We start from the raw sequence: 27,928 nt of genomic DNA on the forward strand, positions 1-27,928 counted from the left end.
GGAAGGAAGAGCCTCGTTTTCCGTTTCCTTCACGGGTAGCGTGCTTGCGGTTGAGTTCTGGATTCACGCATCGCCATCGCATGTGCCCCGTAACCAGTGTTTTGCACCCCCACTTTCTCTTTTTGCTTTTCAGATGTGTCCACCCGCCCCTTTGCTCATCCTCATCTTGGGTCTGTTTTCTTCACTTTCTTACACCACTGTCTTTAAGCCTGTGTTTCTGTTCGTGCTGTTCTTTGGTCGTTTTCTCAGTCGTCTCCCTTGTCCATTTTTGTTTTCTTTATCCCCCCTCCCTGCCTCCACCCTTGTCCTTTGTTTGTTTGTTTTTTTGTTTAAAATTTTAAAGAACAACAACAACAAATTCCTCCCGTGCACCTAACAGTCCAGACTGAAAGAGCAGCTGGAGTGGCAGCTCGGGCCGGCCCGAGGGGACGAGCGGGAGAGCCTGCGCCTCCGAGCCGCGCGGGAGCTGCACCGCCGCGCAGACGGGGACACCGGGAGCCACGGGCTGGGAGGCCAGACCTGCTTCAGCCTGGAGGTCAGCGTGGGCAAGCAATCCCCCCCCCCCGCCCTCCCCCTCCTTTTTCTGTGTGGCTGGCTGTGTGACGTTTTCTGTCCCGGACGAGGCCCTGAGGGAACATGGCAGGAGGAGGTGGAACTAGGTGGAACTCACTTGACAGCAAACCCATTTTGTGGCACTGGGACAGGCAGGTGTGCGCAGGTGCCTGCGGTGAACTGCTGTGCTCGTCAGACAGAGGGACAGCTCACTGTAGGCACTGTCCACCTCCTGTTTCCGCAGACCGGGAGCACCTGGAAGTAGGCTGATTGGTGAGTGCGCAGTGGCTTCTTGTCCAGTCGCAGAGAAAGAAGGGATGAAAACCCAGCACGGGCTTCCCTGCTCTGGAGGAAACTCTCCTTAGAGTTCCCCTTTTCAGCTCTTTGTTGCCTGTGTCTCATGTGACCATCCCACGGTCTCGAGTGACACTGCTGGCAGGTTGGTAGAATCAGGGAGGCTCGCTCCTGACCTGTGGGCACCCCTAGCAGTGTCTGTCACCACAGTAACCCGGTATACACAAGGCTTCAGCCACCACAGAGACCATGGTTGGAAGTGTTGTCAGCAGCCTGGAAGAGTGAAAGCTCTTAGATGCGGGTCACCCGACCCGGGACAGAAAGAGGGGATCCCCGAGGAGCTGTTGAATGAGGAAGCACCTTTAAAAGTCCAAATGCTGTGTCAGTGTAAAGTATGAATAATAGAGAATGCAATGTCTTGCCATTGGGGACTGTCAAGGGGGAAAGCGTGTCACAGCCCGCCTAGTCAGGGGCCCAGTTTTCCCTTCCCACTGTAGCTCTTTCTTCTTTGCCATGGGCTGTTTCTGGAACCACAGCTCCGGCTACACAGGGCGGCCCCCTTCCCTTTGATGGCTGGTTTTACAGGAAGTGCGTCTCCCTTCCCGAGTGTTCCGTCCTTCAAGGTGTGTCACACATAGCTGTGTGCAGTTAGAGCCTGTGTCAGAGAGCTCTCCTCCTGGATTCTTCCTAGGTCCTTATTGTGTAACCTGGAGCAGTGATAAGTTGTCACCATCATGAATGCATCGCATAGCTTCAGAAACTGGGAGTGATTTGGGAGAGAGAAGCATACTTAGTTGAAGCAAACCAAATACTGAGGAGCAATAAAGCTTCACAAGAAGTAGATTAGCAGAGTGAGCTGGTGCCATGTGACAGCACAGGATCTCCAAACAATGCAGCTCAGAAGGGAACAGCAGGTCTTCAGATGAAGTCTCTCATTCTGCGGATGAGAAAAGTGAGGCCTGAGAAGTGAAGCGGCTTGCCAGTAAGCCCTCCTCCTGGTTGGTGGCAGAACTGGGTCTAGAACAGCCTCCAGCCAGCTGCAGCCCCCGCTCCCCAGCACATCCCCGGAGGGGCCTGATCTGCAGTAGTGGGACGGCTCTGCACTGACCCCTGGGTGTGTTTCTAAAGAGTCACTCTAACGACTAATTGTACAGCCGCTGTCTTGCCATGGAATGGCACCTTTTAAAAACATCCATCTAGTTTCTTTTAATTTTCTATATTTTAACAAGAGAGCTAAAAATCTCCATAGTGAAAGGCCAGGTCTAGGGAGCGTCATTTCCTAGAAGGGGAAGCAGTATGAATCAGGAGTTTTAAGCAAACATCCCTCATTCTGATGTTTTTTATTCACAAAGACATTTCACACAGAAAAGAAAACTCAATTATGCTGCAAACACATCCTATTTTATTTTATTTTTTAATAAGGCATGTTCTGGAGCCACTTTGAATCTCCACAGTGCTTCCTTTTATTAGAGAAGCTGGATGTGGATCTGTCGCAGAGCCTGGGTCGGGAGAGGCCGCCCTGTCCCTGGTGTGAATGTCACTCTGACAGCCTTGTTAGTTTGGTCTTTGAATATGACATTGTGTTAAAGAATTGTACAATGGATAATTCTGGGGGCAGAACTCTTAAAAGCCTTTTAATGAGAATATCCCTGAATTTGCTGCCAACAATTGCTTTCCCATGAGGCTCTAATGGAAACAGTACACAAAGCTCCCATAAGTCAGCCCAGCAGCCCGGCCAGAGACTCACACAGACCCCGCCGGACTAACTGGGGGAAAGACAACATGGACACCTTCATGCAGACTGAGGCAGGGCTGGAGCTGGAGGTCCTGCCGGCAGCTTTCTTTGCTCCCTTCTACATTTCCCTTGAAATAACCACGGATTTTGCCCTCAGGCCAACCACGACTCTACCTGTGTGGATCCCCTTTAGCTCTCTGCCCGTAGCTCCTCAGGGGTGTGGGAGGGGGCCCAATAGCACACCTAGTATCAGCGACATCAAAGAAGAAACTTTTCCAAATTTAAGCAGAAAAAGGATTTGTTCCTCAAGCTGCACTTACAAAATGCCTCTGTGTCTTCTGCCTTATGGATTTTTATATTTGAGGAAAGAGGAAAGAAGATAAGTGATTATTTTGAAAGATTGAGGCATTTTGGCCCGACCAAAACTGTGACTACTACTCATAGTTGTACCAGCAGCAGCAGTTGTAACGCTAAAGAGGAGAAAAAGAAGTGCATTCTTACACATGACACATGTTAGCAGATTGCAAATCTGGGCAGTGGAGGAGCCCTGCTGCTCAGACACCACCATTCACTAAACCTGGGAAAGGGGCGGCCTCTCCAAGGCCGGCATTCTTATAAACAGCCACAGCCAGAGCAAACTGAAGTCAGAACCCACGGACACCCACTGACACATCAATGCAACCACGCAAAAATGAACTGCTAAAAAAACACTTCAGGACGAGTGTTTCTGCTGCCTGCTCTTCTCAGGAGATATTAGCGAGATGCTCACACTGTGCACTGGACTCTTCCCTGACTTCACTCCCTGGGGTTCCCATCAAATGTGAGACAATCACATTTGTTAAGAGAGAGTGGTGTGTAGAATGGTTTGGAATGTGCGAGGCACCTTAAAAATAGTCCTGAATGAGAAGTAGCCATGCACGGACGCTGGTCAGATTTCAGGTATAAAGGAGACCAGGCCTGTGCCCAGAGGATTGAGTTTCTGGGTCAGAAATCTCAAAGAGCTCTTCTCCTCAGTGCCTGCTTTTATCCTTCAATCAAGGAAGCACACAAAGCACTCACAATCCCACGTGCCTCAGCTGTGAAATGCCAGCCACAAGGAAGTTACGTGGGGTTTTATGCCAAGTATTTGCACTCATGTGTTGGCCTCATGTACTGCTTTTGAAATAAGTGGTTGCAAAACTGGCCAGGACAAAATGGAACCCTCCAGAAAATGAAGCCATGGTCATGGTGATGGAATTGTCCTAATAGAGGAGTAGCATTGCTAGGCACTCTAGTGATGGCCATGAAAAGCCTTCCTTTTCTGTTTGTGTTTGAGATTGTGAAGTTATCTTCTTAAGTGTGGGAAGTAATTTGTAAGCCACTTTCTCTGGAGGTAGGGAAGTTAGCCTTTGTCAATCAGTGTGGGATGCAGCTCTATTGGGGAAGACATGGACGGGAGTTCCGGAACACTGACGTGGGGAGAATGGTTACAATTGTCAAGACTAGTGTCTCAGCAGCCTCGGAAACAAGTGAGGGTGGTGGTGGTTTAGATAAGCTGCTTTAATAGGGAGATCAAGATGAATTTGATGTATAATCAGAATCCTAGGTAAGTGAACAAAAAAAGGGTTTTTTTTAGAATCAAACCTTTGGGGATTGGGTGGTAAAGGGAAATATTTATTTTTTTAGAAGACATTTATGTGTCATGTGAAACTTTTCTCCAAATGTATGTGGTTGTATGCAGTTGTGTGGCAGTAGAGTAATTCTAGGCTGAACCTTTTGCCATAGCACGTTTTGTATGTTGTTTTTTGTAACATTGGAGTGACGTTGGCATCCCAGCTAGGGGCAGTTGTCCGTGGGAGTTTTAATATTGCATTAGCAAAAATGGACAATAAAGGAAAATGAAACTTCTGATAATCAGGAGGATCTAAACCTGTCTGCTGTTGGGCAGGCAGCAGTCTCCAGAGACAACACTGGAGCCATCGTAGGTGAGTCCGACTTCCCCAGTGAACTGGCTCAAGGACCTCCCTTTCTGTGACTCTTCAAAGGTGTGGTTCAAACAGAAGAGCACGTTTTAAATCCAATGACACTGAAGTATGAGCTTCATATATTGTTTCAGATAAAAATGGCTTCTTAACATATATATTATTTATTAAAATTAAAACCAAACTAAATAGTTCATGCAATGTATAGAAACTAAACTAATAGATCTTTGCTTTTCTTAAACAATAAGCTTGATTAGGATGTCTGTTTTTACACCTAATAAAGCTTTTGGCTAGCACCTAATGCATTAAATAAGAAGGATTTTTACATTTTGAGTTTATAGAGTAATGTGTAGCTGGAAAGTAAAGCTGGCAGGAGAGCAGCCTAGGTGACCTGGAAACAGTCCTGCACGGAACACCTGAGAGAGGAGGGAAGCCCCAAGGGCAGATGTGGCCGCTGTGTTTACTGCTGTATCCCCCACGCTTTAGATGATGCCTAGCACTGGAGGTGCTCAATAAATATTGAATAAAACACTGCATAAAATAGAAAGTATCCTCTTAAATACATCGCTGAATTCCCAGGAAATTTAGGGGAATCTTCAAGAGTTGGAATTGATTTTAGATTTGAGACCCAGAAGGCCAGGCACGGTGGCTCACGCCTGTAATCTCAGCACTTTGGGAGGCTGAGGCAGGCAGATCACTTGAGGTCAGGAGTTCGAGACCAGCCTGACCAACATGGTGAAACCCTATCTCTACTAAAAATACAAAAATTAGCTGGGTGTCATGGTGGGTACCTATAATCCCAGCTGCTCGGGAGGCTGAGGCAGGAGAATCGCTTGAACCTGGGAGGTGGAGGTTGCAGTGAGCCGACGTCACGCCACTGCACTCCAGCCTGGGCGACAGAGCGAGACCCTGTCTCAAAAAACAAGCAAACAAAGAACTGAGAACCAGAGTGGTCTCTGTGGCCCTTGGGTGGGTGGATTAGGGAGATTGTTGCCAGAACTGGTAACTGGGAGCCTTGGGTTTCAGCAGCTCCAAGGGAACAGGAGATGGGGCCTGGGCCCAACATTGCAGGGAAAGAAAGGAAATGAATGAACAAGAGAAGCATCTGCCTGCTGGCCCCAGGGCAGGGAGCAGGGAGGCAGCACTGATACTTGTTTCCCCAGCATGAGCCTCTGGATCAGGAGTGGGAGGACTGAAGCTGGCCTCACCCAAGGTCAGGCTTTGAATTGATGTTACCAGTTTGGTCCGGGAATCCCCAAAGAAAGGGATTTATGTTATGTTGCTAGCTCCACCAAACAGGAAACCAATCTGGAGGCACATCCTCCACCCAAATCCATACTAGATCCATAGATAAGTGCCCCTGGGAGATGAAGTCACACAAGCCAGTAACGTCCAACAGGGACACAAGTTGGCAGACACGGCAAATAGCAGGATTCAACCCTAAGACTGCAGGTAATAGAATTATCAGATGGACGCTATCAGATAAGTGCCTACACAGCTATTAAAGGCAAGCAAACAGGAGAAGAGTATGTCACCATCATAAAAGACCACACATTTTCTAAATAATAGACCTTTTGGAAATGCAAAATTAGTCATTGAGGTCAATTCAACATGTAGGGAAATGCATCTTTTCAGAGAACCCCAAACAATGCTGAATATGTATAAGAGACTATAGTAGTCTCAAACAACTAGCAAATCAAAGAAGCATTTAATGCTGTCAGAAATTACTGAGTTTTTTGAAAATAAGATGTTTAAATCTCTAGCTTTCAAAGTTTTATGCTGAACTTGGTGAATCCCCAGTGTCTGATTTTCTGTCTCCGTTCTTCTTTCCTTAATACCCCTTTCTCATATCCCCAGTACTAAGGGAGGTGCTCTGCTCTTTTATTTTTTGCATTTTCTGTTCTTGGGTATGATCTTCACTCTTGACTACCCAGGTACCGATTAGGAAGAACAAACAGTATCCTCAGGGAGAAGTAGTAGATAAGTTAAAGGGACTCAGAATGAACCAGTGAAACCGCACGTATTTTATTGCAACAATCTACTCTAATTCCCAGTTGTATAAATCACCTGTCTTCAAGTAGCATAATCCAGTGGGTAAAATGTCATGCTTACATTTCGATGATGCCTGAGATTTTTAGCATAAGAGTGTTTCCATCTCTAAAAAGCACATTTCATGTGCCTGACTCCTCTATCATGGCATTAGAACATAAAAGGTAGACTTTACCAATAAAAATCATGATACAGATTCCACCACCTGTCTTTAAACGTAGTAAGTACATCTTTGTGCGATTCCCTGTAGACAACATGTGCCGTTGGGAGGCCTGAAGCCGTGCATCTCTGCTCATTGATGAACCCCCACCCTATTGCCCTGAGCATCGGTGTCAGACCACCTTGATAAAGACACCCTCGGTTGAGAAGGAAAAACTCTAATAAGAAAGCATATGAAAAAATTAATTATGCAACACAGAAAGACCCCATGACTTAGAGAAGGAATCCAAGAGGCTGACGTGTAATAGGTGGTCATGCTTGCCTCGGTCATAGTCGGCTCTGACCATCCCGGCGTCCAGAAGCCACTGTGGGAGCAAGGACACCTCTGGTGTACTTTGACTTCCTTCTCTCAGTCTGGTTTGTGGTTATGGTGGTGGGTGAAGCTGCCCACTCCCCTCCTGGGTAAGAGATGCAGGGCAGGTGGAACTGTCCCTCCCCAGGTAACGCAGGGAGCTGTGGAGTCTAGAGGGAGGCCCCAGCGGAGCTGCCACAGTCACTCCACTGCTGCAGTGCCCACACATGCTGTGTCGCTCCGTGTGCGTCCCCAGCTTGTGCAGATGTCTGTCCTGCGTCGTCACCTCAGGCAGAGTTCTCATTTCCACTAAACCCCTTCCTTTATCCCACCGATCAGCTCAGGGGCCCCCCCGTTTTACCTGAGCAGAGTGTATCCATAGAGGAGCTACAGGGTCAGCTCGTGCAGGCGGCCAGACTGCATCAAGAGGAGACAGAGACATTTACAAACAAGATCCATAAGGTAAATATTTAACACGGACTCAGCACAACCGCTTTGTGAACTGCAGAGCCCCAAAGGAGAAATGCCACGATACATTTTCAAAGAAGGCTGTCTGTTGCGTACAGGCTGCTAGACTCCTGGGCACGTATGGAAAGGTCACCCAGTCAAGCTGTCCCCTCTCAGACACCCCTAAAGATAACTCTGCTTTTCTGCTCTGGCACATGCTTTTCAGCATCTACACTGTGGTCTCAGCAAGGTCTTCCTCATACCTAATCTAAACTTTCCTGCAGCAATACCAGCCTAACATCAAGTAAGGGCCTAAATGCAACTGGACAGAAAAGTGTGTCTGTCACCTCTGCTGATGTTGGGTGAATTTTCCGATAGAAAAATCAGCAACCTCACCCTAAACCATTGCCTTCGGAAAACTGCCGCAACTTGAGCTGTGGCCTCATTAACCTCTGTTACTCTCGAATAACCTGGTACTGGCTAATTATCTTTTATCTGCAAATCCTTCCCCAGAGTTCCGAGTAGAAGGGATTTGCAGATGTGGGCACTCGTCGCCCTGGACATCCATGAGAACAGCCCAATCCCGGCCACCCCAAATCTAATTAAGTTGTGAACAGATCTCTAGGTTCAGAATTGCTGCAGCTGCTCTTCCCCCGTGTATTTGTTCTTGAAAGATAGCTATGTCTTTAAAACGAAACAAAGCAAAGCGGTTGATCTTGAATAGAGCACGTTGGTGTTTTAAAATGCATATCCTATCCAAATAAGGTCCTGGTATATCTAAGAACTTATTTTGGCAAGGAATGTGTGCTACACATAAGCCCCCATGTTGACTGAGGCCATGTGATTTAAATGGGTCACAAACTGATTAAGGGAGTGAGCTCCTTCTCTGCACCTTGCAGCTTAGGGAAGGCAGGGCCGAATGCCAAGATGTAAATACTTTCTGCCAACTTCTACCACTACATGTATGACTCTTTTTAAGTGTTTCATTTAGGGGTCAAGTTGCACATCTTATTATCAGAGGAAAATAATTCCATATTACTTGAAAGATAGATTCCTAAGTAATTAAAAAAATGTTTGCATGGCACCAAAAATTGTTTGAAAAGTGAGTTTATCACTGAAGATGCTGCTAGCACAGTGTCCATGGCCCACGTGTTTCTAGTATGTGGGTTAATGATGAAGGAGTATTGCGGAAGAGGCTTCGGATGGTAGGAGATGTCCTCCAGGCTTGTTCAGAAGGGAAGGGAAAGTGTCCCCCAAGGTACCCAGGGGGCAGAAGACTGAGCTCTGAGAATTAGGAAGTTCATGGAGCCATGGAACAGAAGGAACTGGAAAGGGCAGTGGAGATGTGAGGGAGAGAAAAGAAGGCTCTCCAGGAGGGCCTAGGCGCGGTGCTGCTGATGCTGCCTCCCGTGGTGCGGGTCCGGGTGTCTCAGCGCCTCTCCACAGCCAGGCGGGGAAGGGTCTCACGTTACCTTCACATTGCCCCTGAGGCCAGTGAAGCTTGCCCAGCATGAGTCAGTTGGCTAAGACATGTAAAAGAAAATAAAACTACAGGACTCTCTAAATTGATTATGTCAAGGGCAAAGTTAAGTCCTGGAGACTGAGTCATGAACATGTTTGCAGTTTTGTTTCTTAGATTATAGGTGAACTCTGTTCCTCATTGTTCTTGTTCTGTAAATGACTAAGAGACCAGAGACCAGACCTCCCTTCTTTTTAATTACTGATCTTTGTTATAGATTAACTGCCTCTTTTATTGTCATGTACCTAACTCAGACCAGATGGTGCAAAAGATCCCATGACCGTTACATCTTCAGTGTGAAATGTTAAATACACTTCCCCCACCCAAAAAAAGACCACGTTGCCTTATCAATAGGAAATTGCAGATGCTGGGTGTCTGGTACGCTAGGCTGCCCTTGTGTCCACAGGGGAGAATCGGTGGAATGCTGAGGGCTGCTGAGATGATGAATAAAATCACCTGTTTTCTGTTATTTCAGCCAAAACTACAGTAAAGGTCAGGTATTAGGTGAGCGGCCACGCAAGTCGTTGTCTAGACCTATGGACCTTTCCAGAGCTGCCTCTGACTCTTCACTGGCCTTTAGCACATTGGCCTCGGGCAGCTGTGGTTCTATTCCCATGGCCTCTGAGAATTAATCTAGTACTTTAAGGAGAAAAACAAATCCCTTACTTGGTTTTTGGCATAAGAGAGAGTGTTAAGAGAGGACAGCTGATAACCTTAAGGCTGGCATTCGAACCTTTTATTGGCCTATGGAACACAAAGCTTTGATCCCATAGTATCACTTTAGCTACTATAAATATTTATAGATGTTATTCTTGTGCCTTATGTGCAAAGTGATATTTTATTCACGCTTACTTTTTAGTATTGATACACAATAATTGTTGCTTGAAAAAGTGTCTATACCGGGGGTGTTTAAAAAACAGGAATTTAATGTGGAGATGCCAGATATTTCTTTTTCAGTGACACTTTTCTTTTCCTAAGAGATATGCACATCTAATAGGAATGTCAAGTCTTTCAGCATGGAAATAGGCTATCAGACTCACTTTTCTGTTTCCTGGCTGTTGTATGCAGTTGAGGCCTGCATATTCGGAAGAATTCCTTCCACCCAGCCTGCTGTGCTCTCCACCAGCTGGGGTTCTCTTCTGTCGGGGCTGTGGGGAGTCAGGGGGCTCAGGAAGTAGAGGGGAAGGATTTCCACTTGTTTTCTCCTTTACAACTGTAATGTGCGTTTGAGTGCCCAGCTCATGTACAGAGGGGAAGTGGAATCTGCTTACACCGGATTCAAGTCAGTGGTAAGCCGCACTTCCAAGACACGGTTTTCCTGAAGGAGTTTAGAGACATCTAAAAACACCATGAGAGACTTGGCAATGAAAAATGATCATAATACCTTATTTTGAAATAGCACTTGATTCTGAATCGCAATACTCATGAGGTTTTGTAAACAGGAAACTGAAGCCCTTTATCAAACTGAACTTCTGGGGACTCCTGTGTTTCACGTCTCATATGCAGCATGACAGAGACTGAGTGGCAGTTTGCAGGGACTCTTGGTTTGGTTTGGGTGGCGGATTGGATTAGCTGCTTGTCACACTGTCTCTCTTATTCCATTCAAGATGGAGGAGGAGCACCTCTATGCCTTGAGGTGGAAAGAACTGGAAATGCACAGCCTGGCTTTGCAAAACACCCTCCATGAGCGAACCTGGAGTGATGAGAAGAATCTGATGCAGCAGGAGCTCCGGTCCTTGAAGCAGAACATTTTCCTCTTCTACGTCAAACTCAGGTGGCTGCTGAAACACTGGCGGCAAGGGAAGCAGATGGAGGAGGAAGGAGAGGAGTTCACTGAGGTAACTCCACTGTCGAATTCCTTTTATTTGCATCTGTTTTGTCCTTGACCCCAGACACTGCTTTCTCCTCACCCACCCTACACACAGTCATGTTCTATTATTTTATTTCTCAATATTTGGTTAACATCTAATATTGCAAAAAAGATGTAGAGCAATTCATACAGACACTTAGATAAGAGAAAATTGAGCACAGGTGACTGAAACATCAATCATTTTCCTATACACAAGCAGATATAACAGAAGTAACGTTACAGTAGCAAGAGCAGGTATGCAGTGCTAGGCATAAACTTACTGAGAATAGTGCAGGAATGACATGAAGAAAACTACAGACTTCCCTGTGAAACCTGCATGATGTTCATGAGTGAGGGACTGGCAGAGGCAGGTGCTGTTGGTTGCCTACTCAATGTCTACTCTTTCTTTTTTTATTTGTACATATTCATGGGATACAATTGCAGTTTTCCACATGGATATTTTGCATTGTGGTGAAGTCATTATTATTGTAAATTATTTCATCAATTTTGGTCCAAGAAATGGAAATGCAGCAGCTTGTCCAGTTATATATGAAACCAAGAATTCTGTGCTACGCTCTGACCTAGTGTTAAGAGTGCCCTGGTCCATAACTCCGTGCTGTAGCAAAGTTCCGCTCCCGTCTCCTTTGCTGCTCATTTATAAAATTCATTGACGTTATCACCCTGAGGTCCTGCGCCATCTCATTCAACCTTGCTGGTGTGTAAAAGCTGGTTTCTAAAACTTTTGCTCTTCTTTCTATTTGAGCTTTGTTCCTAGATGTGGAAGCCTGTCCTGCCCACACAGTTTTAAAAGGATCTTTTCTAAGCTTCAGATGAGTCACTTTGCCACCTCTGGAATTTGTATATGTTCTTCCTGTTATGCCTCGATTCCCAGGTTTATAATAGAAACAGAAGCGAGATCTTTGCCTTCTGTTTGCTTTTGTATTGATTAAGTCAGAGTGGCCGTTTGCACTGCAGGCTCCTTCCTGGCCTTGCTTCCTGGCACACCCGGGGCTGGCGCCACTGGCGTTCTGTGTATTCTGTACATCACTGACCCTGGCTTCTTGGCCAGCTGCTTCGAGGCATTGTGAATACTTGGTTTCTTTTTAGCTCCCAAAGACCTTTTGTCTGGTTTTCACTCTAGGGAACAGTGTATGTAATTTTAAGTTCTCATCCTAGGAATGGGAAAATACAGTGATTCTCTTTCCTCAGAGTGAAGAAAGTCTTGAAAAACTAATTCCGCCAGCTTCCAACTATCCGTGACATAGATAACCATTATTAAGCAAAGCCTAGAAATTGTTTTAAAGTTTCCTGTTGATCAGTACTCTGGAGTTCCTCCTCCTTTAACTTATAAAACCATAGCTATTAGCAATACTAATTTAAAAGCAGTAGAATTAAAATTTCTCCCTAATGTCTTCTAATAAGCTGAGCATCCACCCTGTGGTCTTTAAATGCAGCAAGTGCCAATGAGTGAGATGGCCAAAATGAGCATTTTAGGGGTAAGGACTGAGAAGTATAGGCGTTGATAATCCATAAAGTAGATGGTTATCCTCAGACAGTGAAAATCAGGCTGTACAGCAAAAGAATTTGGCTGAAGCTGTGATCGTCACCTCCTGCCTGTTTCAGGGTGAACATCCAGAGACCCTCTCCAGGCTCGGGGAGCTTGGAGTCCAGGGGGGTCACCAGGCGGATGGCCCAGACCACGACAGTGACCGAGGCTGTGGCTTTCCAGTGGGGGAGCACTCCCCACACTCCCGGGTGCAGATTGGAGATCACAGCTTGCGGCTGCAGACCGCGGACAGGGGACAGCCCCACAAACAGGTGGGTACCTCGACCCGAGCCTGTCGCCCTGCCCACACCAGGGAGAGGAGGCTCCTAAGCTGCATTTGGGTCGTTTTGTTTCCAGTGTTGGCATTCAGGTAGCAGAAAATTCCACCGCCTGACTGCGGTCACCTGTTGTCATTTGTGATGCTGGGTTTTTCCTAGAAATCACCTCATCAAACCTTTTCCATCTTAATGTCAGCCCACTCTTTCATTTGAGTTGCCATATAAATAAGGACTGTAGTAAGGGCAGATCAATGCTGCGTGTCGCTGCTGGGGCCAGTGAATTGACCTCAGAGGGTCTGCCATTGGCAACATCATTCGTTTGGCAGCATAACGTACAAGGAGCAAAGGACACGTTTTAAAAAAAATCCCCCAACATGGACAAAATATTTCAAGTTCTCTTTGGCCCACTTGAAACATAATGCTCCCAAATAAAAGTATTTGATGACACTTTGAAAAAAATTAATGTATAAAGAGAGGTGAGACTTCAGTGTTATTAAGTAGCTGTTATTGTTGCCAGAGACCACAGAAATAGACTCTACTTAATAAAGCAAAAGATGCTACTAATAACATCCAAACTGCTTGCATTTTTATACCAAAATGGCAGTGACGGAGGATTTGGAGTAAGGAGCTCCAGAGCAGGACCCTGTGTTAACGCTGTCTCGCTCTCAGGCTTCTGAGTCCCCTCTAACCCAACTTTATTATGTATTAATAATAATAAAGCTGCTCAGGGGGCTCCTGGAGTACAGCTGGATGCCCCTGCCCTAGGAAGCCTGCGTTCAGGGCTGAGGGCGCAGGGGCAGGTGGCCACGGGGATGCGGCAGTCATATGGGCGCGGCTCTAGCCTCTCAGCCACAGACACTCTGGGGCACTCCCTCTGCACTGGACGCCACAACTGCTGCTCCTCCCTGGCCCAGGCTCCCGAAGCCCAGAGCCTCTGGGAGCTCTAATGGGAGCACGCTGTCGCCAGAGCCCTGGCTCAGATCCAGATGAGGACAGGCGGCAACCTTCTGAGTGCAGGCTGAGGGGAATTTGGGTTCCCCCTGCTCCCTCTCTGTACAATCAGATTTTCACACCTAAACAGCTGTTTCCTATGTACACCTGTCCCCACTTCATTCTCCCTGAATAACATGACTCAAGGAGGAGATGATACTTGCAAAGGAACTTTTATTCACAGCCATCAGAAAGTATGCCATTATGCCAGTGTCCATGGGGAGAATTTAGGTCATGGAATGAGTTTTCCAGCAATAATCTAGTTAGAAATGAAAATGCTACTTTGCAAATAATGCTTTACAATCTACTAATTTTACTTTTTGAAAAGAAATGTTGTCATTCAATCCCATAAAGCATCTGTGCTTACCTCCCATAATATTGCCACTGATGGCCACTGTTCCCACCTCGCCACAAACCTGCTGCGTCTAAGAAAACGTGTTTCCCACGCATTCACGCAGATGCTCTGGACAAGGAGAAAACCTCGCACATCTGGTTTTCTAAACAACAGTCATAGAAAATGTTACTGTCAGGGTGGAAAATAACGTGAAGTCACTCAGCTGGAACCTTACATTCAGCATATTTTATTGTCATTTCCCTTTGCCTCCTGCTTCTTCCAACACTAGTTTTTAGCGATTACCCACGAAAGTGGAGATGGACCCGTGAGCTTCCACTGCGGGCCATGTGTGATAGAAGCACGTGGCGGGGTGGGGTCCAGACACTCAGACCCAGGTCTGCCAAGTGGGCCAGTGTTCACAGTAGTGAGTAAGGAGCTCACTAACGCATGCACAACCCTCTGTCTGTCCAAGGACGGAAGATGGACGAGCTCTACTGTAACGACAGCTGGTTCTCTGGGAGGGAACATTCCCGGTTAGAGGATTTGCCTCTCTGTGACTGGCATGAGTATTAGCCAGGCAGCTGGGATGCAAGAGCCAGGGTACGTGTCTCACAGAGCTGCACAGAGCCGGGCCGTTCCCGAAACGCCGAGCACCTCGCAAGGCGATTAGTAGCATGGGAAACCTAGCCAAGCCGTTTTCCCAAGGACAAGTTCTCAGTCACAGTATTCCTCAGGCCTTGGTCTTTGCTTTGTGACATATGGAACGTTCTCACAATTGAACTCAAGTAGATGGCAACATTTATCACGTCCACAGAGGTTTAAAAAAAACTGCATATACCGATCAACCTTGGGATGGCTCATAACAAATCATCAGGTTGGCAAACATTTGGCTCCGCAGACATTCCCTGTTTCCCTGTCTTCAGCCACGTGAGCTCGCAGTCATGACCTGGGCGCTTTAGAGCCACAGTGAATGCTTTCAGTTTCCCCAGCCATCCTGAAGAGCAGAGGCTGCGCACACGCAAGAGGGAATCTTACAGTTTTCCTTGAGCTCCAAGACTCACGCCACTGCGTTAAGCATTTGAGGCCAGCATTCCTAAGGCTGTTTATGCATTTCATGCTGATTAGTAATTCCTGGAATCCAGCTACTTCACACAAGGTGATTAATGGTGTGGGAATGATGGCCCTGGGGTGCCAACAGCTTGTTTTCCCTACTTGGATTAACTGATTTGAAAAGAAGTTACTTTTTCATTCAGGGATGTGACCTAATTATCATTTAGTAAAACAACTAAGTAAAAAAAAAAAAAAGTGTGAAGAACTTAATATAAAATTCATAGCAAGAGCTGAAGGAATTGTGTTTCATATTTAAGTCTTCACCTGCTACAGGCCACTGAAGAGCCTCATCCAGTCCAGCCTCAGGACTGAGTAGACTCCACTTCCCTGGACCTCTGCTCCTTGTCGGGGCTTCTGTGCTGCGTTAGGGCCTTCGGGGGCTGCCTGAGAAGTCAGCCTTTCTCCTGCAGACAGAGAGCCCTTGGCTCCCTGGGCTTCCGGGGCTGTGGCTCTCCCAGGCCCCAGCAGTCTTCCTTTCTGGCCATGCAGGCTGCCCACCTTTGCTTGCCCAAGATGAAAAACTTCCAGAAAGAGCACCCTTGCCAGAGGAGGCCTCACATCAGAACTGTGATCTGCCTGACTTTTTTTTTTTTTTTAATTAGAAAGTTATCTTGAGCCTAGATGGTATTTACATTTCAATTTTGTACGTCATACCGTGATTCATTCTTCAGTTTATCCTGCAACTGGGAGGCCTCCCCTATAAGGCGTGCTACTCTTTCTGTAAGAGGAACCAGACCAGAGCTTAGGATCTGAAGCGTTTTATCTTTGCCGTGTACTTGTGGTGGCAGTTGTTCTGTCACTCTTTAAGTAGCCCCTGCGTGAGGTAAAAATTCACATGTGCAGATGGGTGCTTGATGAAAGGACTCTCCTTGCCCCATCCTACCTCCCAGAGTTAACCATGGCCTGCAGTTTGCCACAGGCCTTCCAAAGTGCGTAACTAAGCCTGGGACCTCACAAATAAGTCTCTTCCCTAATGGCCACCTGATTTTCATCAGACTTGCCCTGGTTTCCTAAGCCTTTGGGCTGATAACTGTGTTTACAGCTTGTTAAATATGTGCCTCATTTATTCTTTCCCGGATCCACATTCATTCTTGGGAAGCTCTCAGTGGCATTTGTGGAGACCACAGCCCAGAGCCCTCCTGGACAGGATCACCGGGCAGACTCTTGGCCAGAGGGCAGAGGACTTCTGTGTGTAAATGACTCTAATTCCCATGATATTAATAGATTATATTTTCAGGGTCTGTCTTGAGTGGCCCATTCTCTGTAGGGGATAATGGTTTTTAGAAAAGAACTTTTCTGGATGTAACAATGAAGGTTACATTGAGGAGAACGACAAATGGCTCATTTATAAAAATGCTGCTGGCTGTGTGAATGTATCAATTCTAGCTAATCTCACAGTAAAGAATTTGTCCAGGGACTCCTGCTGGTGGAGGAGTTGCCTGTGTTGAATGCTAAGTGAGGTCTCAAAAAGGAGCTGTGCGTGCCTTGTGGGGGTCTGGGCAGCTACCACATCATTCTGGAATTCTCCTGCCTCTGTCAAGGAGCCTGAATAAACGTGGATGCTATCACCTCTATTTTGTGACTGGCGTTTTGTGGGTTAACCCATAGCAGCAGGTCAATATGTCTGTTCCAGCTTTAGATTAATCCTATCTCCAAAGTTAGTGGCTGTGATGCAAGCAAAGTAGTCGGTGGTGGTTTAGCTCTTTTGTGGAGCTGTGATTTCACCTGCTGAAATCTTAGAAATCTTAGGCAAGAACAATTTTGAAAATTAGCCAGCATTGCATCACAGATACCTTGATACGTTACCTTATCTACAAACTTCCATTTCACTTTCTATTAGTAATACTTATAAATAGACTTGGATATTAGACTTGGATAGACAGACTTGGATAGCAGTCTGATGGACCAAAGACCAATTCTGAACCTGTTAAAAAGTTTGACATATTATAGCACATTGTAAGTCTCACTCAAGAGAGCTGAGCTAGGTGAGGCTGTAATGCCCTTAGGTGGAGGAGAGGGAAATAAGTGGAAGCTTTTTATCCTGCTGCTTTGCTAGAAAATCAGCCAGCTGATCTCTGAATGAAAAGCCAGATTTTTGAGTTGAAACTGACCTACACTCACCAGATGTACAAGCTAAAAGGTTGCACGGCTAGACCCCGGCACAAGAGGTTCAGAAAGCCTGTTGTCCAAGAAGACTTGCATCATAAAGACATCTCAATGGAACCGAGTCTTAATTTGATTCTTGACTTGATTTGGGTCATCTTTTTACCCAAAAGGTAACCCAGCAAGGGGTACCACCAGGGGAAGAAAATAAGAGCAGTTAACTTTTAGGTATTCTCTCAGGATGACTCACTATCATTAATTTCCCTTGATAGGGGAAATTGAATTAGCTTCATGGGGATTAGATGGCTTCTGCAAGGTAAAGTTTAAAAAAAAAAAAAAGAAGAAGAAAAAGAAAAAGGCTTGGCAGGGTATAATGTCAGAATTCGAATATTCCTGGCTCGGTTTGTTGGCTTTGGAACGCGACAACCTGGACTGCAGTCCAGGATCTCACTTCCTTGACAGTGGGACCTTGGCCCTCAGCCACTCCAAGCCATAGTTCCTCCTCTGTAAAATGGGGAACATAGTATATGCACTCAAAATTGATGTGACATATATATAAGGTCATGTTGGCAAATAATTTAGTACATCCCCTGGCCATAGGAAGCACCTATAATATTAGTAGTTATCATTACTATTTTTTTGCCTGTGTGCGAAAGTCATTAGGAAAATCATGCCTATCTACGGCCCATTCTGGGTCTTCAGAAATGTTGACACAGACATCCACTTTTGCCGTTGTGTGCTAATGGCAGGAGCTTGCCTGGCTTCCTGCTGTGCCACATGCTGCTCTTGAGGAATGATGATAACAGGTACCAATAGCATTGAGCTGGGCTCTCTTGCTCCCTTTGGCCACCTTCACCCCAAAGCAATTCTGGAGCTCATTCCGCAATGATTAATATTATCCTGGTTGAATAGAGCACTGTTTTGATTACTCTGATGCAAATATGCATAAATCATTAAGGCTTAAATTTTATTGAATTCAGTATCTGTTAAAGCCAAAAAGTACTTGCTTCCAGAGAAACCAAGTTTCCAATCTGCAAGAGGACTGTACAGTTCTGATTCTAATGTCATGTGGTGTATGGGCCAAGAACAGCATAGGCTGATACCATATGTAACTTGGCATTCATAGAAAACCATCGATTACATATAAGAATGTATCATATGGTTTTCTGCTTTCTCTTCAGTGAAAATTAAATGACTACTCCAAAATCTGGATCAAAATTATTATAATTATTTTCTGCTTGAAATACTCTTGACTCAAAAAGCAGTGATTTTTAATTTAAAATCTAAAGATGAAACTCCCAAACAAATCTACCACAAAATGTATGTGATTATTCAGCAAATTCTATATGAAGATGTATATTTCTGAAAAGATTGTTGTGACACCTCTTGTCACTCAACTGTACTTATATAATTTTTAGATTTTTTTTTTTTTTTTTTTGGAAACAAGGTCTTGCTCTGTCACCTAGACTGGAGGGCAGTGGTGTGATCTTAGCTCACTGTAACCTTGAACTCCTGGGTTCAAGCGATCCTCCCATCTCAGCCTCCTGAGTAGTTGGGACTACAGGCAAGAGCCACAACGCTAATTTTTAGGTACTTTTTGACGTGGAATTTTAAAAACTGTTCTGTGTTTGTTACAGCTTCACATATATGGTGAGCATGTCTTTGAGTATAGTGGTAATTTATTTCTATTCAGATGGTTGGTAAGAATGTATAAGACTCATAGATGGTTCCCTATCTGCCGAGTTCTTCAAATGTTAACTGACTTGTACTCTTAATGCCTTTTGTCCCAGAGTTATTAAAGTAAAAATTGTTCCCTGTGAGAAAAAGAGCAATAAATATGAACAAACTGGCCTTTCTACTCCATCAAAAGTCCATTGTAGCTGGGCACGGTGGCTCATGCCTACAATCCCATTTTCTGAGGCTGAGGCAGGTGGATCAGTTGAGGCCAGAGTTTGAGACCAGCCTGAGCAACATGATGAAACCTTGTTTCTACAAAAAATACAAAAATTAGCTGGGCATGGCGGCACACGCCTGTAGTCCCAGCTACTTGGGAGTGTGAGGTGGGAGGACTGCTTGAGCCCAGGAGGTTGAGGCTGCAGTGAGCCGTGATCCACTGCATTCTAGCCTGGGTGACAGAGCGAGACCTTGCCTCAAAAAAAAAAAAAAAAAAAGTCCACTTAATTAAATGCTGGGGACAACTATGGAGATCTCTATAATAAATCTGCTCATATTAAAGAATTTCTCTTTTTAATACAACTTTATTTTTGAATATATATATATATATAGAATTTTAGGTTCAGGGGGTACATGTGCAGGTTTATTATATGGTATATTGCATGTTGCTGAGGTGTGGGCTTCTAATGACCCTATCACCTAAGTAGTGAACATAGTACCCAATAGGTAATTTTTCAACCCTTGCCCCTCTCCTCGCAACCCCTTTTGGAATACCCAGTGTCTGTTGTTCCCATCTCTGTCCGAGTATACCCAATGTTTGGCTCCCACATATAAGTGAGAACATGCGGTATTTGGTTTTCTGTTCCTGCATTAACTTGCTTAGGATAATGGCCTCCAGCTGCAACCATGTTGCTGCAGAAGCCATGATTTCATTCTTTTTTGTGGCTGCACAATTTTATGTAAATACAAACATCCATCCAAAGTATCTTAAATTCCTCCCATATATACTTAACCATTTTTGTGTATGTTTAGTGGATCAACTAGATGGATTTAGAAGCATGACTGTGGAGTGAAGGCCAGTGTGTGTGTAGAACCTGAAGGAGGGGTCCCAGTGTACTTGCTGAACCAGGGAGGAGAGGTTTATCAAGTTTGGGGGATGAGGAATTCTGAGAGGGTGGGGCTCTGTTTTTCCATAGTAGAGCTTATCTATGTCCAGTGGGACTTAGAGAGCTTTTATAACTCTTGCTTCATACATGCACCAAAAAAGAATGCCCTGAGACCGCCCTGAGAGCTTGTGATGTGCTTTCCGTGCTGGTTGGAAGAGATGGGCTCACGAGGCTTTTATTATCAAGGTACCATAATTGATTCAGCGTGTTTCATTCATTTGGCCAAACCCTTCTGATATAATGCCCTTGCTGAAATGTACTAAGACAGAAATCATGGCTTTGAAATTTGACTTCAAAGGGCTGGGCAGGTTTCAGAACATATAAACCATTTTAAGTTAGATATAAGCAGATTAGTAATAAAAATCCACTCTTCATTTACCAGACACATTTGCATGCTTAACATGAGCCAAGGATTGTGCCAAATACTGGAAATGTGAGGGTGGGTCTGGCTTGTCCTTTCCAAGAGGCAGAAAAGTGGGGGCTGATAGTTCTATCTCAAGGGACCACAATAAAGCCTTCCTGAACAGGTTATGCATTTCACCTTTGGCTTTAATTATTAAACATCAAAATGTTTAATAATTAAACCCACCCACACACAGTGGCCATGTGTGTCATATCTGTGACCTTTTAGTAACCACCAATCGGAGTCTGATTACCCTATGTGCATAGGAGTCCTCGGTCTTTATTAATTCTCCTCTAGTACAACATCTGGCACTAGAATGGCAGCATATATGTAGGTGAGTGTGTAGGTCTTGTCATATCTGCACCCTCATGACAGTCTTGTCAGCCCAACTCAGTGTTCTGGACATCTAAAGTCACACAGTGACTGGCAGCCCTGGCTTTGGGGTTCCCTGTGGCCTCCTGCAGTTTCCTTGCTCCTGCTCCTCAGGGCCCACAGCACCTCTGTGGCAGGTTCCCACAGTGCCAGCCCAGGTTCCGGCGTCTGAACACAGCTGCCAGGTCACCAGGGCAGCCTTCCTTCTACCCTCCTCCTGATCAAACAGGCCCTCAGTCTCAGGCCCAGGAGACCGATGGCCAGCAACAGGGACCCTTTCTTTGCTCCCCGGCTAACTGCAGACTCCCCACCCACCCTGCACCCACTGCCAACAACACCTGGGAAACAGCCCCCACACTACCTTGATAGCCAGATCCTCTCCTCTTCTGACCTAAAAAATACGCTTAAAGGAGGTGGTGGAGCCTGACTCAGTGTTCCCGCAGGTGGTGGAAAACCAGCAGCTGTTCAGCGCCTTCAAGGCCTTGCTGGAGGACTTCCGTGCGGAGCTGCGGGAGGATGAGCGTGCCCGACTACGGCTGCAGCAGCAATATGCCAGCGACAAGGCGGCCTGGGACGTGGAGTGGGCCGTGCTCAAGTGCCGTCTGGAACAGGTACCACCCTCCCAGGTCTCCCTCGATCCTGACTGTGTGTCTCTGCTGTCCAGGATATGTGGCGGGGGAGCGGGCACAGAGAGATTCAGAACCATGGGCTTCTTGTCCAGGAAAAAAAGAGAGGAGTGGCTGCTTGTGTCTCTTCTTAAAGTGCAGAGTCCCCATTTTCCCTGATGTCCCCTCTCCCAAGTATGCAGTACGGCCCCCACCAAGCAGCATTTTCAGAGCAGCATGTATTCTCCCATTCTGCATTAAACAAGCTTGTATTTAGCTGCATCAGAGGACGGCCAGGCTGAAGCTGTCATCACACTGAGCTGACATAACTCTAGACAGGAGCAAAGCAAAAGCAGACTGTGGTTTAGTTGTCTTTGAAAAAGGTAAATGCATGCTTTCATTGAGATTTTTCAAAATATCAAAAGAACTTGGAGACCTCCCACTGCATGCCCAAGAATTCTAATACATTTCAGTCTCCTTATTTATATCAAAGGAAACTGAGGCCCAGAAGAAACAGCTCAGCTCAGATCACAGAGCCATGTAGTGCTAGGGCAGGAAGAGAGCCCGGGTTTCCTGCCTCCACCTCACACCACAGAGGGAAGCCCCCTCTGAAGTCTTACACCACAGCCATAGGAGTTAAGATCAGACATAACAAGAAACATCCTTTCCTAAGTGTTTCTTCCTTGGAAACCATTGAATGTCATGTGACTTCCTACATGGTATCTGCTGCTGAGAGCGTCTCTCGAGGTTTCTTCCAGCCCCTTGATCATGAGGAGGGAGGGAAGGTCTGTGTATCCTTGGTAATCTATTTCCTAGACTCTATTTTGAGGCAAACCATAAAGTAAGTAAAATTTTGTAGGGATTGGCCTGGTCATGAAAGGAAAAGAATTGCCTGGAAAGGAGACCCCTGTCACATGGTCTTGATAAAAGATGAAAAAGACTTGATGTGTCAAAAAAAAAAAAAAAAAACTCCAGCTCTCCTGGTACCCACAAGTTCCCCTGCATTTCCACCTGGCCACAGCAAGCAGTGATGCTGAGCTGATAGCCCTGGGTGGGGCAGGGACACAGCCTTGCAGGCCTGGGCATCAAGTGAGAGAGCAGCTGGCCTGATTGTGGCTCCTGCCTGCTGCCCGCGGGGGATTTGACCTAGATGCTCTGTTTATCTTAGTCCCCGGCCTGCAGCATCAGCAGCGGAGGAGAAATGACTAAGGACAGTCTCTGATGAGCTGTCTTTAACCCTATTAAAAAAAATATGTTTATAGGGGGAGTTAAGTGTTTCCAAAGCCCGAACTATAGCTAAGGAAGGGAGGTGTAATCTTCGATGCAAGCCAGTTTCAAAACATTTCATCTTTGTTTTATAGGAACGTAGTATCCACCCACAGGTTTGCCACAAATAAACCCTCAGGGAGAGTGTCCCTAAATACCAAAAAATAAAGCTAGAACTTCAAATTCAGAAGCCAGGTGGTAATAGGTAGAGAGTTTATCTTCTGCCCAAATCATTTAGGAAGTTTCTTAAACATTTGCAACCCAGGAAGCAATGAATATGGGATGATGCTAGCTCATTTGTAATAATCCCATATTTACCCTCTTCTGCTTAAATGCAAAACAGTTTAATTCTGCTACAAGTTACCTTCTTTCAGTGGAGCCCACGTTGATGACACTTCCCAAGTCCACGATTCCTTCAGCAGACTCCTAAGTCAGACCTTGCTCTAAATGTTGAACATCCAGCAACAAATCAGATGTTCCTTGAAGGGGTTCTCAGTGCAGTGGGGGGACCTAGACAAGTGCTGTCCTTTATAACAGCGTGGAAAGTGCCCACAGGGCTTTTGCACGTAGGCTGTCAGGGAACAGGAACGTGCAAGGCACATGCCTTGGCTTGAGAATTCAGGGAAGGCTGTGAAAGTGAAAGTCCTGCTGAGAAAAATCTCAAAGGATGGACAAGAACTGGAATGTGGAAAAGGAGAGAAAGGAAGTTTCAGGCAAAAAAAAAAAAGTATCATGAAGAAAGGAGCATGGCTCATTTGAGAAGCTTAGGTATGAGGGGAAAGAATAATTTTAAGGAATTGATACTTTAATCCTGATTTTATCATGAAAGTTTAGATTCCCTTTTTCAAAAGATTATTCTGGCTTCAAGATAGAGAATGGATTAGGAGCCATTAGAATCGAATGGATTAACCTGGGGTTAATGGTCTGTAGACTGAAATCAGGGAATTGCCAAACCAGAATAGGAAAGAGACGCATCTTTATGGTCACTAACTTTCCACTAAAATTTAGCATGTCCTCCGGTTATAAACATAGGCAACAAGCCCAACAGAAATCACGGATCTTTTTGAAAGGAAGTATGGAATGAAAGAATAAAAAGTAATCACACACATCTCTCCATTTCCCGTTAGAATTGTTGTGGATATCCCAGAATTAACATTGAGGAGGAGACTTTAGGCTTCACCAGGCTGCCAGCTGGGTCCACGGTAAAAACGTTGAAGAGCCTTGGGTTGCAGAGATTGGAGGTGAGAGGGGTGACTCTGAAGTAAAGCAGCAGCAGTGGAGAAGGAGTGGAGGGCACACACCTGAAAAAAACGGAGCAAGTAGAGAGTGGCCGGGCCTGGTGGCCGGTTCATGAGACGCCGTGGAGCAACAGGCACCTCGCACGGCTGTCAGGTTTCTAGTACGGGTGCCTGGGCGATGGGCCATCACTGAGACAGGAACGCAGAGAGACAACCAGTTGGGATGGAAAGGGGACAGGTTGGATTTGAGGTGTGTGTCATCACAGGCACTGGGACTTGAAAAGGGCTGGGCTGAAGATGTATATACCTGGGTGTGAATGAGGAGGTGGGAGGCAGGGCCATGGAGGACGCTGCAGGACTGTGCACAGAATGAAAGGAACTCATAGAAGGAACCAAAATATTCATTTTGCAGAAATTAGTGGAAGGAGAAGAGATTGGAAAGGAGCAGCCAGAGAAATTTATGAAAATCCAAAGCAAATGCTGTCCCAGAAGCCAAAGGGAGAGACGCTGTGGCGTTCCAGGTGGAGTTCAGCGATATCGGATGCTTTGAAGAGGACAGGACAGATGAAGGATAAAAAGTTCTGTTGAACTTGGCAGTGAGGAGGGCACTGCAAAACTTGACAAGAACAGTTGCCGTCAGGTGTGCGGGGCTGAAGGACTGTGCGCTGTGCCGAGGGACAGAAGTTGAGTTTGGCGGTGAAGGGGAAAGAAGGAGCACAGACAGTGCAGTAACAGGAGCCGCGGAGTCATGGGGACGCCTGTCCAGTGAGACCTGACAGTGCAGGGCCACTGATGACACGAGGTTCCTCAGTAGGCAGGGGGATTGGGCTCTAAGCATTGAGGGGAGGGGTGACCCTGACCATGAGAGACCTGAGAGGTGTGGACACAGAGGAGCTTGTGGGCAGAAGGAGTGTCCCTTCACTGTCTTCACAAAGCGGGTGAGCAGAAGTGATGTGGGGCCCAGGAAGGGGTACGCTGCATGAGGAGATTCTAAAGAGAGGACCTGTTGGTTGCTGGAAGCATCTACAGGTGAACAGACGTACGTGCGAGGGGCTCAGCAGCCTGTCTTTCATTCTGGGTTACGTGGACTTCCAGCAGCTCTTTTAAACTGGGATTTTGTGGTGCTTGGTGCTTTTCTGGTAGTCTTCTGGTTAACTAACACTGGAGGTTTCTCCCCTCTTTTGTTTCTGCATTCTTTCTACTTAGAAAAAGTTTTATTTTCCCCAGATTTACATTTTATAAATAATTGATCAAGAAGCGTCACCACTGACCTGTGCCCGTGGCTGTCATCTGCTTCCTCAAGCCTTTCCCTGCTTTCTCTCCAAGCAGGCCTGAGTTCCACTAAGATTCAGGGACAAAACAGTGTGCTCTCCCCGCTTAATGAAGCATTTGCCTTTATTACAGAGGCGAGATTCGATGTTAGCTCTCTCCCAGTGAGTCCCTTGTGAGCAAAAACTTCCAGTTTAACTGAGCACACCACTCAGCAGCCTGTCTTAGTCCGTTTACTGTTGCAATAAAGGAATACCTGAGGCTGGGTGATTTATTTAACAACAAGGTTTATTTAGCTTACAGTTCTGCAAGCTGCACAAGAAGCATGGTGCCAGCATCTGCTGCTGGAGAGGGCCAGGCTGCTTCCACTCAGCAAAAGGCAAAGGGGAGCCGATGTGTGCAGATCACATGGCAAGAAAGGAAGTACAGGTGGGCGGAGGTGCCAGGCTCTTTTAAACAACCAGCTCTTAAAGAAATAATAGAGGGAGAGGTTACTCACTCCCCGCCGCAGGGCATGAATCTGTTCATGCACAGTCCACCCACATGACCCAGACACCTCCCACTAGGCCCCATCTCCGACACTGGGGATCAGATTTCAACGTGAAGTTTGGGGGACAAACATCCAAACTACAGCACTGATACAGACATCTTTCTAAATAGAATAATACTGGGTGGTTTAAGTCATTAATCTTTATATATATATACATATATATATCTATGGTCTCAAAAAAGTTAAAAGAATCTTTTCAGACATGGATAATCAGCTATGAATTATTTTAGTGGGTCTTGAAGTAACTCATTTTAAGAAAGTTAATTGAACTCTACATAGGAATAATGGTTACTGACTTACCATGTCCCTTAGGCAAGTCCCTAAAGCACTGAGCTGCCATTTCTTCACAAATAAACTGGGAATAAGGATACCTATACGTATTTACAGGATTGCAGTAGACACCAAATGAGGCAATCTATGTGAAAGGCCTTCCTTTGAAAAGTATACAATTTGTTAAAATTGTGCACTTAATGAAATATAAGAGATTGCTTATGAGGATAAAAACGAGACACTGAACAGCAAGCTGTTGTGCAGTTTTAGTGTTTGCCCTAGGGTTTATAATATACGTATTTAATTAATCAGAGTCTACCTTGAAGTCCTATTAGGCTACTTTTCATGCTGCCTGAGGAAATTGCAACAGTGTATTCCCAGTTCCTTCCCATCCTCTGTGCCATTGCTGTCATAGTTTACCTCTACATATTCTGTAAACACACAACACACTGTAACAATTTTTGCTTTAGATAATCAAATATTAAAACAGAAAATAATGAGTTTTATATTTACATAGATGTCATTTCCAGTGTTTATTTTCTGTATAGATCAAAGTGCCTGTTGGTATATTCCTTCTGCCTAAAGAACTTCCTTTTTCATTTCCTGAAGTACAGGTCTGTTGGCAATGGTTTTTTTTGTTTTTTTGTTTTTTTCAGTTTTCATTTGCTGAAAAGTGTTTTCCTTCTTTTTTGAAAGATACTTTTTCTGCGTACAGAATTGTGTCTAGGTTGAGATCTTTTTTCTTGAACACTTTAGATGCCACTCCATCATCTTCTGACTTGCAAAGTTGCTGATGAGAAGTCTGCTGGAATTCTCTCGTCTTTGTGCCTCTATGACATGGGTCATTTTTCCCTGTCTTTAAGTCTTCTCTTTGGTTTTCACAGGTTTGAGTACATAAGATGTAGAATCTTGTTTGGTTTTGATATTTAACCTCCTGGGTATTTGACAAATATTTATTGAAAACTATTAGGTTCTGTCACTGTCCCATCCCTAGGTTCCATATAGGAGCTAAGGATATAGGGACGGACATGGTACCTGCCCACAAGCAGTTACACAGAAGTACAGGCAAGAGATAGTGGTGACTTAGACTAGGAAAGTGGAGCAGGGAAGCTGGCCATGGGAAGCTCAGTTTACTCACCGCTTAACATTCTTTGTGACTGTGTCAAACGCTCTTAATTAGGACTTTAAAAATAAAATTTGTTTATACTGTGGGATTGGTCAAATCTTGGTTTAAACATGTTTCCAGGGATCACATGTAAATGTGCTGAGACTTCATCCTTGAATGCAAGACTTGTCAGAGAGGGAATTCCTAAGTCTCTTCTCCTTGACAGCTGGAAGAGAAGACTGAGAACAAGTTGGGAGAACTAGGCTCCTCCGCTGAGAGCAAGGGGGCCTTGAAGAAGGAGAGAGAGGTGCACCAGAAGCTCCTGGCAGACAGTCACAGCCTGGTCATGGACCTGCGCTGGCAGATCCATCACAGCGAGAAGAACTGGAACCGGGAGAAGGTGGAACTTCTCGACCGCCTGGACAGAGATCGGCAGGAGTGGGAGCGGCAGAAGAAGGAATTCTTGTGGAGGATAGAGCAGGTAAGGAGGCACCCCGGGGCCCTGGAGCATAGGCACAGAGTGTAGACTGCTCAGTGGACCCAGAAAGCAAAAGCACTAGGCTGCTTCATGGTCCTTGCAGCATCAGGATGCATGGGCTTCCAAAGGAAGAGAGAGAAATTCTAGAATTGCTTGTGTTGGAGACCAAGGCTCATGCCTCTCCATGACACAGATCTTTTCTTTGCAAAGTTCATAGGTAACTCTCCTATGTGTACATGTGGTAGTGGCAGAGC

At 45.6% G+C, this 27,928-nt stretch overlaps 1 protein-coding gene across 35 annotated transcripts in view, besides 2 other annotated features; it reads left to right on the forward strand.

The window, feature by feature from the left end:
• Positions 1 to 27,928, forward strand: part of MTCL1 (microtubule crosslinking factor 1) — a 127,223-nt gene that overhangs the window by 80,001 nt on the left and 19,294 nt on the right. For 13 of the 35 annotated variants that reach the window (XM_024451115.2, XM_024451110.2, XM_011525640.4 and 10 more), the window contains 7 exons: positions 380 to 535; positions 7,442 to 7,564; positions 10,676 to 10,906; positions 12,541 to 12,735; positions 21,337 to 21,504; positions 23,892 to 24,005; positions 27,423 to 27,677. In XM_024451115.2, coding sequence (XP_024306883.2) covers positions 380 to 535; positions 7,442 to 7,564; positions 10,676 to 10,906; positions 12,541 to 12,735; positions 21,337 to 21,504; positions 23,892 to 24,005; positions 27,423 to 27,677 — 1,242 coding nt within the window. Of the gene's footprint in view, positions 1 to 379; positions 536 to 556; positions 4,167 to 7,441; positions 7,565 to 10,675; positions 10,907 to 12,540; positions 12,736 to 21,336; positions 21,505 to 23,891; positions 24,643 to 27,422; positions 27,678 to 27,928 lie in introns of those variants that run through there. The other 22 variants (XM_024451118.2, XM_047437397.1, XM_047437396.1 and 19 more) reach the window with 7 other exon arrangements.
• Positions 4,955 to 5,478: an enhancer, noted in NCBI's record as "H3K27ac-H3K4me1 hESC enhancer chr18:8790509-8791032 (GRCh37/hg19 assembly coordinates)". NCBI's record gives its function as "activates a minimal SCP1, AML or CMV promoter by ChIP-STARR-seq in naive H9 embryonic stem cells {active_cell/tissue: H9 hESC(naive)}" and the evidence as "EXISTENCE:reporter gene assay evidence [ECO:0000049][PMID:30033119]".
• Positions 14,622 to 15,821: an enhancer, noted in NCBI's record as "P300/CBP strongly-dependent group 1 enhancer chr18:8800176-8801375 (GRCh37/hg19 assembly coordinates)". NCBI's record gives its function as "activates an origin of replication core promoter dependent on BRD2, BRD4, P300/CBP, MED14 and CDK7 cofactors, with strong dependence on P300/CBP, by STARR-seq in HCT116 cells {active_cell/tissue: HCT116}" and the evidence as "EXISTENCE:reporter gene assay evidence [ECO:0000049][PMID:35650434]".

Source organism: Homo sapiens, chromosome 18, assembly GCF_000001405.40.
Source record: "Homo sapiens chromosome 18, GRCh38.p14 Primary Assembly".
NCBI lineage: Eukaryota > Metazoa > Chordata > Mammalia > Primates > Hominidae > Homo > Homo sapiens.